Consider the following 12172-nt stretch of genomic DNA (forward strand, 5'->3'; position numbering starts at 1 on the left):
AGGAGTTTGAGACCAGCCTGCTCAACATGGTGAAACCCTGTCTCTACTAAAAATACAAAAATTAGCTGGGTGTGGTGTCAGGCACCTGTAATCCCAGCTACTCGGGAGGCTGAGGCGGGAGAATCAATTGAACCTGGGAGGCAGAGGTTGCAGTGAGCAGAGATCGCGCCATTGCACTCCAGCCTGGGTGACAAGAGTGAAACTGTCTCAAAAACAACAACAACAACAACAACAAAAACAAACAACAACAACAACAAAAAACACTACTTTTTAGGAAAAAGCAATGCAGAAGGGCTGGTAACTAATTTTTTCAGTTATAATCTACCCATTCTGGCACCTATATCTGCGGTGGACACTGGTGAAGCACTGCGTTAGCAGGGTTGGATAGTGAAGTTTTTCTGGCTGGCCCAGAGAGGACAGCAGTCCTGGCGTTGAGGGAGGGTTCATGATTATGGGCCCTCAGTGGTCAGAATTCACCTGTAGGTCCAGCCCAGGGACAGCTGCTGATGATTCAAAGTGGGAACCAGCATCTTTTAGGTAACAAGGCAATTGTTTATTGTTTAATAAGCGGTTGCTGATACAATTTAAAACCATTTTTCTTACATAATTTTATAAGTTTTCTATGGCTTTACATAATTTTTATCTACTCATACCATGCATAAATAAAATATACATTGGTAGATTGCAAGAATCAGTATGTGGGAATAGAGGCTAGGCTTGAAAATGTTTTTCTTTCTGACATATATATGATATTGGCTACAGTCAAATAGATGGGAGGCTTTGACATCTTATAGCCAGAAGATTCTAAATGTTTACTCCCATTACAAATGAAACCAAGATAATGCTATCTCTAGATGCTATTTTACAAACCATGATGATTGCCAAGGTTAATTTTAAAAAATCTAATGGACTTACCACACAAGAAATTTTGGGGAGTATTTATTTTCTATCCACATTAGTTCATGTATAGTCATGAAACTAAAATATTTCTCTGGTTCCATGGAACCTAATCACCCTTCAAAATTAAAAGATGCCTTTATTTCAAATATTTCTATAGCTGGGGTCATTAAAACTTAAAAATTTGTAAAGCATAACTTGTAACCCAAAATGTAAGTATTAGATATTGAGCATTATATAAATGTTTTAATGTTTTAATTTTTAAGTTTTTAGAGATGGGGGTCTTGCCATGTTTTCCAGGCTGGCCTCAAACATCTGGGCCCTAGCAGTTCTCCTATCTCAGCCTTCTGAGTAGCTGGGACTACAGGTGTGTGCCGCTGTGCCTGACTATACAGATTTTTAAACTTCAAAACATATGAATTGTTAGAGGAAAATTTCTCATGAATTTATAATTTTTTTCTTTCTGTCTAAAGCTCTGGCTTATATCAGTTACAATAATCACATTTTCTTCAAAAAAACTTCAAATTTCATAGATTATAGAAAATGTCCTAAGATAATTTTATTGGATCAGTTTTTTATTCTTAAAAAAGTTTCATATTTATGGAAATCCTTCTTTTGTTTGTTGTACTCTTTATATCAGTTTCACCATCTATAAAATGCAGATAATAACTGTACTTAACTCACGGGGTTGGTAGAATGATTAAATGACAGAACCAACATGAAGCAGTGTTCCTAACACATAACAAGCAGTCATCACATGTTAGATTTTATTACTGTCAGGCTGTAGGAGGGGATGGCCACTTAAGCCCCTTTCCGTGCCTGTGTCTCCAGTGACCAGATATTGGTTAGCAAGCCCTGCAGCCTGGATGCATCAGAGCTTTAGTAGCTGGAAGCAGCCTTCCTTCATGTTCAAGTTGCTTTATAGCATTACTCTGATGAGATGCTGGGCATGACACTCACTGACCCCAAGAGGGCAGGTTGGGTGCCTCAAGGGTAAGGATTCTCAGTGAAAAACAGGACACTCAGCCAAATCTGAATTTCAGATAAACAATAAGTTTTTTGTTTGTTTGTTTGTTTGTTTGTTTTTTGAAACTGAGTCACGCTCTGTCGCCCAGGCTGGAGTGCAGTGGAGTGATCTTGGCTCACTGCAAGCTCTGCTTCGCGGGTTCATGCCATTCTCCCACCTCAGCCCCCCGAGTAGCTGGGACTACAGGTGCCCGCCACCATGCCCGGCTAATTTTTTGTATTTTTCGTAGAGATGGGGTTTCACCGTGTTAGCCAGGATGGTCTCAATCTCCTGACCTCGTGATCCTCCCGCCTCGGCCACCCAAAGTGCTGGGATTACAGGCGTGAGCCACCGAGCCTGGCTAACAGTAAGTATTTTTAAGTGTAGGTATATCCCTAGTGAAATATACTAAATATATATTATACTTGACTACAATTATTATACTAAAAATACTAAGAAATTATTTGTTATTTAACTGAAATTCAACTGGGTGTCCTGTATTTTTATTTGTTAGACTTGGCAAAGCAACTCTGGGATAAATCCCTGCTGCACTGTGGGCAGGGACCTGTACAACCCATCTGGTCTGGCACAGTGCTTGGCACACACAGGACCTGGAATTTTTGTAGAATAAGTGAACTGAGACCACATTGTTGTCTGAAGTCAGCCTGCCACCCACCTCTAAACAACAACAACCACCACAAAACACAAAAAACAAAACAAACAAATAACAACAACAACAACAAAAACCAAATGAAAAAAAAAAAAAAAAAAAAAAAACCTCCTGAGGTCTACCAGATGCCCATGAGAGACTGGCCACTTCTCCTGGCCCTTCAGGGTTTGGGGATGGCACAGTGCTATTTGGTAAACATGAAATGTGGAGAGAAGCAGGGAGCAAGAGTAGAGGCAAAAAGAGTAATTTGCAAGGGAACAAATATGAAGAATGAAGAAGCAACAATAAAATGTCTGGGATAAAGAAATGCTCTCTAGATCTAAGGCTGATGAGAATTCTCACCGCAAAGACTTTCTCTTCTGCACAATCTCCCTTGGTTTTATGATTTAGATTTGTAGAGCACAGAAGTCAGTGGACTGGGGTGGTAATGAAGTCATTGAGGCAGCCAAGGTCTCCAGATGGGTCAAAGGGAACTTTCTGTTTCTGGCCATCAATCCACCTGGGCATGCCACAGAACTTTGCTGGCAGGGAGGTAGGACAAATTTCAATTCCAATAAATTGGAAGGTCAGGAAATGGTAGATAGAGGGTTTGGGTTTATCATAAACATTCCCTTTCCTTTACTTCTTTTCCTCTTGCTTTTAAAATTTAATATAAAAAGATAGAAGTATTTTGTTCGAAACAAAGTTTTTGAACAAAAAGTTCAAAAACCAAGATCTTTTCCTGAGATAAACTTCTGCTTCCCTCCTAGAGCAAGGAAACACATCACAAATGTGAAAGTGCTGGCAGATCCATGGGTCCTGTATGTGTTTACTCATAGAGTGGTGGGGGCAGGGGCCAGTGGATTGGGCTCACTTAGGGGGTTGTTATTTCTTTTCCATTTGTCACTTTTGACCCCAGAGGTAATTTTACAGAAATCTTTGCCAGAGTTCTATAATCCCCTAAATATTAACTTGGCCTTAACTCAACACACCACATTACAAGAGGTTCAGATAATTTCTAGTCTGAACAGTTTCTGGTCTCTGTTGCCAAAGCAAAGTTTTTAAAAGTACATCTAGGGATTCCCAGGGGGAGGCCTAATTACCTCCCTCTTGTGTGAACGGGGACTTCCCTTAGAAACAAATTGGCCCTTGGGCTGCTCGCTGCTCTCACTAAGCGGGGAGATGAGACTATAAAGCTGGCAGGGGGTGGAAAGATTGGCAGCCTCTCTTCCTGGCTCCTTAAATCAAAGAAAAATAATATTAGTTAATGTTTGATGATCTTGGCCTACAATTCCATGTCCAGGATATGTACTCCTGCAGAGTTAAGCTTGTTAAAGGAGAAGTAGGAGAATGCAATGGACTAAATCCACATTGGAGTCCTGAATTCTTAGAATGCTACGTTCCTTACTCTTCAGTAATCTCTTGGGTCATCAGTCATCATAGAGAAGATCCCCCAACTTCACAGTGCTAGCATCTGTTTTGGGACTGCAATAAATAATGCTGCTGGAACACCTAAGCTGGAATGTTAAGGGAAAGGACAACAATAAGACTCAGTTCTTGGTATCTATTCTGCCTCTGACCTGCTCAGTGGGCAAAAGCAGAGATGGGCAGGTACCTAGTTATGTGGGGATCAGAATGTGATCATGCCAATGGTAGAACTCTGCTAAAATGAAATAACTCCATGGTTTACTTCATTTACACAAAATTTTAAAAGAGTTTTCAAAAGGAGACAGTTGTGGGGGAAACTGACTGAACAGAATCTTATGGGGAAAAGCTTAGGTTCATAACTCCAATTTCATGTTTATTAGTGATGCTATAAAACTCTTAAGGACTCTAAGTTTTATTTTTGTTATATAAAAATGGGATTGATATTACATCATCAGATTGCTGAAAGCATTGTATAAGATACTGGATTTGACAGTGTTGCTCACATAGAATGGGCATGAAAAATTCAAGGCATGGTAAAACCCTGAGTGGCTGCTGCTTAATGTGGACATTTGACACTGAAAGAAGGAGGTTTGCGCAAGTGTTACCAATCCTAGAAGATATGCTTTTCCTGCTCAAAGCCAGGGAGGACTATAAAATCCCTCCTCTTACTGCAGTATCTTAAACAGTGCGTACTAAAAGAGAGGGACTCTCCTACTCCATGAGCATACAAGAACTGGGATATAGAAATGGCCAATTAAAAATAAATCCCTGTACTTGAAATATGAATTCTGAGCAACTGCAGACAGAATTTCCTGAAATTAGAATGAAAATATAAAAGCCATGATACAAGGAAGGGACACTTCTAATTCAGATGCCCAATCATTTGCTCACTTTTCAGTTATTTAACCAACATGGGAGAGAATAAGACACGGAAAAGGGATCAGCAAAAAGTGCAAAGCCCCTGCTTTTCCTACTCAAAGTGAGATCCCTGGACCAGCGGCATCAGCATCACCTTGGAGCTTGTCAGAAGTGCAGAATCTCAGGTTCTGATCCCAGATCTACTGAATCAGAATGTGCACTTTAATACGGTCCCCAGGTGTCCAGTGACACGTTCAAATTTTGAGAAGCGATGGCCCAGACAATGAAATAAGAGAATCTGAAGTGGACCAGGGCAGAGGCCTTTTTCCTCAAGCAAGGCTGCTGAGGGTTTCACTAATTCTGTAGTAAGGTAAGACTTAATCTGTGGATTATTTGGAGTTGGTAGGCTTTGCCTTTTATCCTTTTGGGGATACATTCCGAGGTAAAGGTACATTTTCGGGTTTTGCTGCTGGCAGATACTGGTTCAGATGGACCCCGAATCTTTAGATTCCTGAGACGACTGGGCATATCAGGTGAGCAGTAGCCTTAACAGAAGACGGCCGCCCCATCCTAATGAACTGCCACCCAGATATAACACAAGTTACAAAATCACTCTGTAAATTATAAAGGACTGTAAAAAACGTAGAGTAGGAATATCATCAAAGCACTGTCAATCAAGAGGGAGACCTGTAAGGCAATGTGCTCTTCTTTGTCTAGGCTGACTTTATCGTCTGGGCACAGGAGCAAGCAATAGGGTCTGGCCATGAGGATTAAAGAGCTAAGACATTGTCACTCTTGGCATTTGACACTGGAAGAGCAGGAAAAATGGTTAAAATTTTCCTATTTGATACATCTTCTCATAGTCTTCATCTCAAATATGATACTGTAACCCAATTTTAATTGATAGAAACATAGTTACCCAGAAATGGAGGATATACTTAATCAAAAACACATCAATAACTGACCTGGGGATAGAACTCCTACATAAAATTCTGTGATTCAATTCCTAGTCTACCTAGAATTCAGCCCTTACCTATAGCAAAGTTTATCTAACAGCCTTCAGGCTGCCAACTAATGAAAAGCCTATCTTTTGCTTTATGATGAATATGAATAATATTAAGAACCATTTTTCCTCAACTGTAACCCATCTTAGAGTAGCTGTATCTCAACCATGGCCACACTGGTGTGTGTTCATCACCTTTCATTTATTAAATCTCTTTCCTTTAGGTCCCAGAAGAAAGTTTAGGGAATAAAATATTAGGTATTAAAGAGAGCTCTCAGACTTAGTCTGGGTCCAGCTGTATCCAACATTTAATACGGTAGCTTTTAAACTCACTGTAGTAAAGAACTATTTTTTTTTTAAATTTTCATGTCACAGACCAATATTTTTGTAAAAATAGCAAAAATAAACTACTAGAGAAACGCAATGAATAAAACAAGACATACAACGTCCACTGATCAGGTACTTGGATATTACAGCAATGTTAAATTGCTATAAAAGTTCTAACTTCTTATTTTCTTATTTTTAATATCTGCAATCGCTTCATCACAGTCTGATAAGAAACAGTTTGCAGATGGGCACTGGTCTAGTGGATATGCCAACACCTATTATAATGCACACCTGTAACAAAGTGCTAATGCTACTCATTAACATTTACAGAGGGCTTTCTATGTATAGTCTTCACTGTTCTAAATCTGGTACATGAATTGCTTCTCACACAATCAAGGGAGGCTGACCCTATTAGTAACTCCATTTACAGATGAGGAAACTGAGGCACACTTAAGGTCACTTAGCTAAACCAACATTAAATCCAACTGTTTGCCTCCAGAGCTCTCACTTAACACTCCACTCTGCACACTTCCTCTAAGTAGGTGTGATTCAGGTTACATCTGAATCTACCCCAGGAATAAGTAATACATATTAGGGCACTGGTGATATAGCACGGTAACCAAGAAGAGTTATTACAATCTGATATCTCTGAATAACATCCTGTGGGAATCAGACACCAGAATAGAGTTGATATATAGTCACGGGAGCAACCCTTTGTATTAATTGGAAAAATGAATTTTGGCACCCTCTTTTAACACAAACTAAAAAGGTGTTCAAAACTCAGAAAATGTCATGCAAATGGCAACTTTAAAGTTCAATTATGACAGATACTAAAAAGGAATAGGGAGCATTTGGGGAACCAAAATAGTGAATAGCTAGGTCATCAGGGTCCAGGAAGAAGTGTCTGAGCACCAGCTGGCACCCTGGCCCTCCTCTCACGTGGGTTGTAGAGGGTCAAGGTCCTCTTACCTCTTCTCCCACAAACACCCTTTTTCCTCATTCCCTAGGCTAGAACTTTGGTGTTCTCTGTCTTGCTTGAAATGGGAAGCCAGCGCATGGGTGCCTCATGAAAAGCTTTCTTTTTTTGTGTGCCCTGTGTTTTGAACATTGCTATGTTACAGAAAATGGACCTGGTTCCCCATGAAGCTGATATTACATTGCCCGCACTCCATACTGGGGCTGCCCGAGTCTCTACCCTACTGTGTCCTTACATGGCAGAGCCAGCCTGTCTGAGGTCTCACACTCCCTGGGCCTGCTTCATTGTCTCCAAAGCTGATAACAATGTCTCCTACCTACATCTCGTGCTGATAGATGAATTCCTGAAATGCCTTTAAAGACCTTCACATCACCCTAAATGCTGCGTTAAGGGAGGACAACTGGTGGAGTAAATGAATAACAGCTGGAACATAAATGGTACCACATGTCAGACTTAACCTCTTCAGTAAGAAGACGGGCCCAAAACCGAAGCCTTTCCTTCCTTTTCCATGCACAGAGGAGTAACAACAGCCACAGCTACTGCCACAAATGGCTGTTATGATTTTCTTTTTACACAAGTGATCACCATAGACCTCTCTAGATTGAAAAGAGATACTCGTTTCCTATCAAAACTCTTGTTTCATTCTTAAAATTTACCTTGGTGGGGCAAAATTATAGTCAGCTTTTCCTAAGCAGGGGGCAATGCTGACCAGAATGTCCCATGTTTTTAATTATGGTTCTGAACTGACTCGTGTACCTTCCCTGAACCAACAGCTGCTTTCAAAGAATTAATTTCTCTTTGTACGAACATGTCTTACCTAAAAATGTGGAAGTTCTTGTGAACACTTTAAGACCTTATTTTTCCTTCCATAGAGCATGGGCTGTGAATACTAGCTCTTCAAGTCTGTGGAAGAGTAGAGGGACACAGAAGGACACCTAATACTCCAGGCCAGGATGGCATGTGCTGGGAGGTGGAAAGGTTGTATGAACTGTGGGAGCTCAGAGGAAAGCACAGATCACTATGTGTGATGGTGGGTGGAAAAGGCCTCATGGAGAAGTAGTACCAAACTGGAGTCTTGGTTCTGAATGCCAGCTTTCAATGGGAAGAGAGGCACAAAGAGGGCATTCTAGAAGGTGATGGTAAAGGTTAGTGGGGTACCTCTTTGGGGAGGAATAGGCAAAAGTTACCCTTGACATTCCTTTAATATTCTTTTGAATTATCCATGAAATACTGTGAAAACTGTAACTCTTATCCACATTGAAATTTGAGATTCACTGGACTAGATTAAAAGAAGAAATTAAGAGAAACTTAATGAACTGATGTCTGGGCATTTGTATTACTGGCCCTCCAGGAATTACCATGGACTCACAGCAAGAATTTTACTTTGTTCTTGCCTGTCTGCAAGGTTTACTCTATTACGCTCTACTATGAAGTTTCTATTATCCCGATGCATATGAAAAGACTTTTTGTTGTGAGGATTAAACAAATCAGAGGGGAAAGCTCCTAGCACAGGAGCTACCATGTGGTAAGAGCTGGTTTAAAGCTTGATCAGGCCTACATATGCAGAATTTTTTGCAGAGTTGCAGAGAAGAACTTGGCCCCCTGTTCTCTGCAGTTTGTGTTGTGGACTCAGTGAAGAGCGATTACTTTCAAGGTCTTGGACAATGTCTTGGGGACATGATGTCTAAGCATGTGCATTACTGTTATTTCAGTAGAGTTAGGTTCTGATGTGACTCCCAGGATGTCAAGATGGGAACTCTGGAATGACAGGTTGCAAAGGGCCTCGTAGTTGAAAAGGTTCTTTACAGGCTGTGTTGCTTGAGTATACATTAGGGCCACACAATACATCAAATATGTCTCTTTGCTGTACTCCATTTCTTTGATGTTCATTGCATGGAATGTAGGATAAATGGAATTCTGGAGCCACTCCAAGGAAGACAGATTTCCTGGAGTCATTTTTCTTTGAATATAGTTGAGTTACCCTATTTTCCCTTCATTCTCCTGCATGTGCTATTGTTTTATTTCCTTCCCTCCTTTGTATCATCTCTTTTCACTTATACCAAAGTCAGATTTACACCTATTCAGTCAGTTTTGACTATAATTTCGCTTTCATTATCCCTTTCTGTTTTCAGGCCTGATTCTTAAAGTGAAGAGCAAGCATAAAATCTCATAATCACTACCACCATCACTACCAAAACAACAAAAAAAACGCAACATTCATGTAACTAAGCCAGAGGATTGGAGAAACTATAATCACACACTTTGTCTTAAACTTTTCTTACACAAACAACTTCTTTTTCCCCCATGACTTTCACGGCTTTGGCTGAAGTTTGCAGGCTGGATCTGAGGGAACTGTAACCTTCCTCTACCCTCCTCTGCCCCAGGCCTGTGTCAGGACCCTTTCTCCTTTTTTCCTTGGGTCTCCCCTTCTGCTTTTTGCCATCATCATCCTCTCTCCCTATCTTTTCTCATTTGTCATATTTATCTCCCACTGCTGCTTTCTCTCCACAATTTCCATCCCTCAAAGTTTCCATCCCCAACTGGGGCCTGTGCCTAACCTCCTACTAAGACCACCTGTGACAAATTGCCCCCATTCTGATGGTGCCTGATTATAGCAGCCTCCCTGGCGCCACATTCATTTGGCAAAGGCATCTTCTAGGCAATGATCACTCCACTGCTCAGCTCAGCCAGTTACAGAGGTGCCCAGAGCTCACCCTCTCCCTCCCCAGCTTCAACTGGGCCCTGGCAGACAAATAACTTGATGTTGAAGGGTAGATAGGACTTGCACGGTATTGAAAGGTATAGATCTCTTCTCCAACCTGACACCTTCTCCTTTGCAATGCATAATAGCCCTTGTACCCTTTTGCTTCTTCAGAATTAATTTAAAAAATATAAATGCTTTGCTTGGCTGTCCTGTTATTTAGCCTCTGTTGGTTTATTATTTACATATAAACATTCTTTCTAAAACAGGAGCAGGAAAAGTGCAAGTGGGCTCACCTGGTGCTTCTAACAAAACTCACTTAATTTATTCAGTCATTTGGCACAAGAAAGCCTCCTGTCTGCTTCAGTTTTCCATTCTTTCTAGGATGCTAATTGTTTTTCTTTTGATAATCTTGTAGTTTTGGCCTGAAGTCTAAAATCTGGCCTGCTGGGCTACATGTCAGATTTGTAAATTAGATGACATCTGTTTTGAATTTTATCATCTTTAATTTTCTTTCAAGCTCCCTTCACTTATTCATTTCCCCTTTAATTGTAAGGATCAGATTTTGCTGCATGCTTTAGACAAAAGTGCAGACCTTTCTGCTTTGGGGGCAGGTTAAAATGACTGAAGTTAAATGGTCACAATGAAGGGTATTCAAGGAAAAGATGTTGGGAGAGAAGCCTTAGCAACCATTCCAGAGAGGATGAGCCGTTCAGACAAAAGGCTGGCTGTCCACACGAGGGTTTAGAGATTCCCACTGAATAATTACAATCGATTAGAAGAAGATTGACAGCGAGGGGTTGAACTGAGAGAAGTATTTTCAATTGAGAGAGGTTGAGGTGGGGGATGATGGCAGTCGTGGTAGGAGGTGAGTGGTGACCTTTTCATCTCTTTACATTTCATTTTGCCCTTTCTTTGTTTCCTACTCTCCTGCCCTCTCACCTCAGAAAAATACTAAAAAAAAAAAAAAAGATATTTAAAATGCATTCTCATACATGCAGACTCATATTTTCATAGTGGGACCTTATTTTTTCTTCCTACCTACATATCTCCTAAATTCTTCTTTTCATGGGGAAATTGTTCATTGCTAATTGGGTTGGGCCTTGATATGGTTATGCTTTGTGTCCCCACCCAAATCTCATCTTGAATTATAATCCCCATAATCTCCACGTGTCAAGGGAGAGACTAGGTGGAGGTAATTGAATCATAGGGGCAGTTTCCCCCATGCTGTTTTCGTGATAGTGAGTGAGTTCCCATGAGAGCTGATGGTTTTATAAGGGGCTGTTTCTGCTTTGCTTGGCACGTCTTCTTGCTGCCTTGTGAAGATGGTGTCTTGCTTCCCCTTTGCTGTCTTCCATGATTGTAAGTTTCCTGACGTCTCCCAGCCATGCCGAACTGTGAGTTAATTAAACCTCTATCCTTTATAAATTACTCACTCTCAGGCAGTTCTTTACAACAGTATGAAAATGGACTAATACAGGCCTACTTATTAAAAATATATTTTCCTGTTAAGATGCCTATGTAACACACTTATATAATATTTTTTCTCTTTATATAAAGCTTTTCACATATATAATCTCAGAAATGTCAACTGGCCTCTTGAAACCTTGTGTCCATAGGGAAAATAGAGAATAGGTGAGCACTGGCCAGGACATGGGCCAAACTTTCACTCATGGCACATGTTAGCCATGGCTTGGAGAAGACACACAGTTCAGCTGTGCATACAGCACAGAATGGCTCCCTCAAATACCAGCTGCAGAGACTGTAAACCAAACTTCTGAAACCACGTCATTAAAATTGGCCAACAGCGACTTTGTGGGTGCATATAAATGGCAAATCTTTTTAATGATGCTGGCCTTGACTCTCCTGGATGCTGCCATGTGTTCAGGTCATTGCCAGTTAACTTATGGGTCTATGAAAATGCTATTTTTGAATGGTATATATATATATATATATATATATATATATATATATATATATATATATATAGTAGTGATTCTCAAGTGGGGGAGGTTTTTGTTTCCTTGGGGACATTTAGCAAAACCTGGAGACATTTTTGGTTGTCACAATTGAAAGGGGGTGCTTCTTCTATCATCTAGTGGGTAGAGGCCAGCACATTGCTGGTGAATATTCTATAATGCATATGGCAATCTCACAACTGAGTGTTATCTAGCCCAAATATCAATAATACCAGGGTTAAGAAACCCTTGTAATAGGCATCTGTATATCAAACCAGGTGACAACACATTTTTATATGCTCAATCAAACTCATTGTGTTGAAAGAAAAGGAATTTACCGACTCTACCTCTGTGAATAGTTATTGACTT

The 12172-nt window shown here is 40.4% G+C and overlaps 1 protein-coding gene and 1 long non-coding RNA gene across 17 annotated transcripts in view; one reads left to right on the forward strand and one right to left on the reverse strand.

Moving 5' to 3' along the window:
- Positions 1-12172, forward strand: part of LOC101928236 (uncharacterized) — a 220247-nt gene that overhangs the window by 192825 nt on the left and 15250 nt on the right. Inside the window, exon 8 of the long non-coding RNA XR_007096141.1 lies at positions 4879-5208. This is a non-coding gene — a long non-coding RNA (uncharacterized LOC101928236). The remainder of the gene's footprint in view (positions 1-4878; positions 5209-12172) is intronic.
- VEPH1 (ventricular zone expressed PH domain containing 1) overlaps positions 1-12172 on the reverse strand; it is a 243864-nt gene that overhangs the window by 106783 nt on the left and 124909 nt on the right. The gene's annotated exons all lie outside the window — the stretch shown is intronic.

This window comes from Homo sapiens, chromosome 3, assembly GCF_000001405.40.
Source record: "Homo sapiens chromosome 3, GRCh38.p14 Primary Assembly".
Classification (NCBI taxonomy): domain Eukaryota; kingdom Metazoa; phylum Chordata; class Mammalia; order Primates; family Hominidae; genus Homo; species Homo sapiens.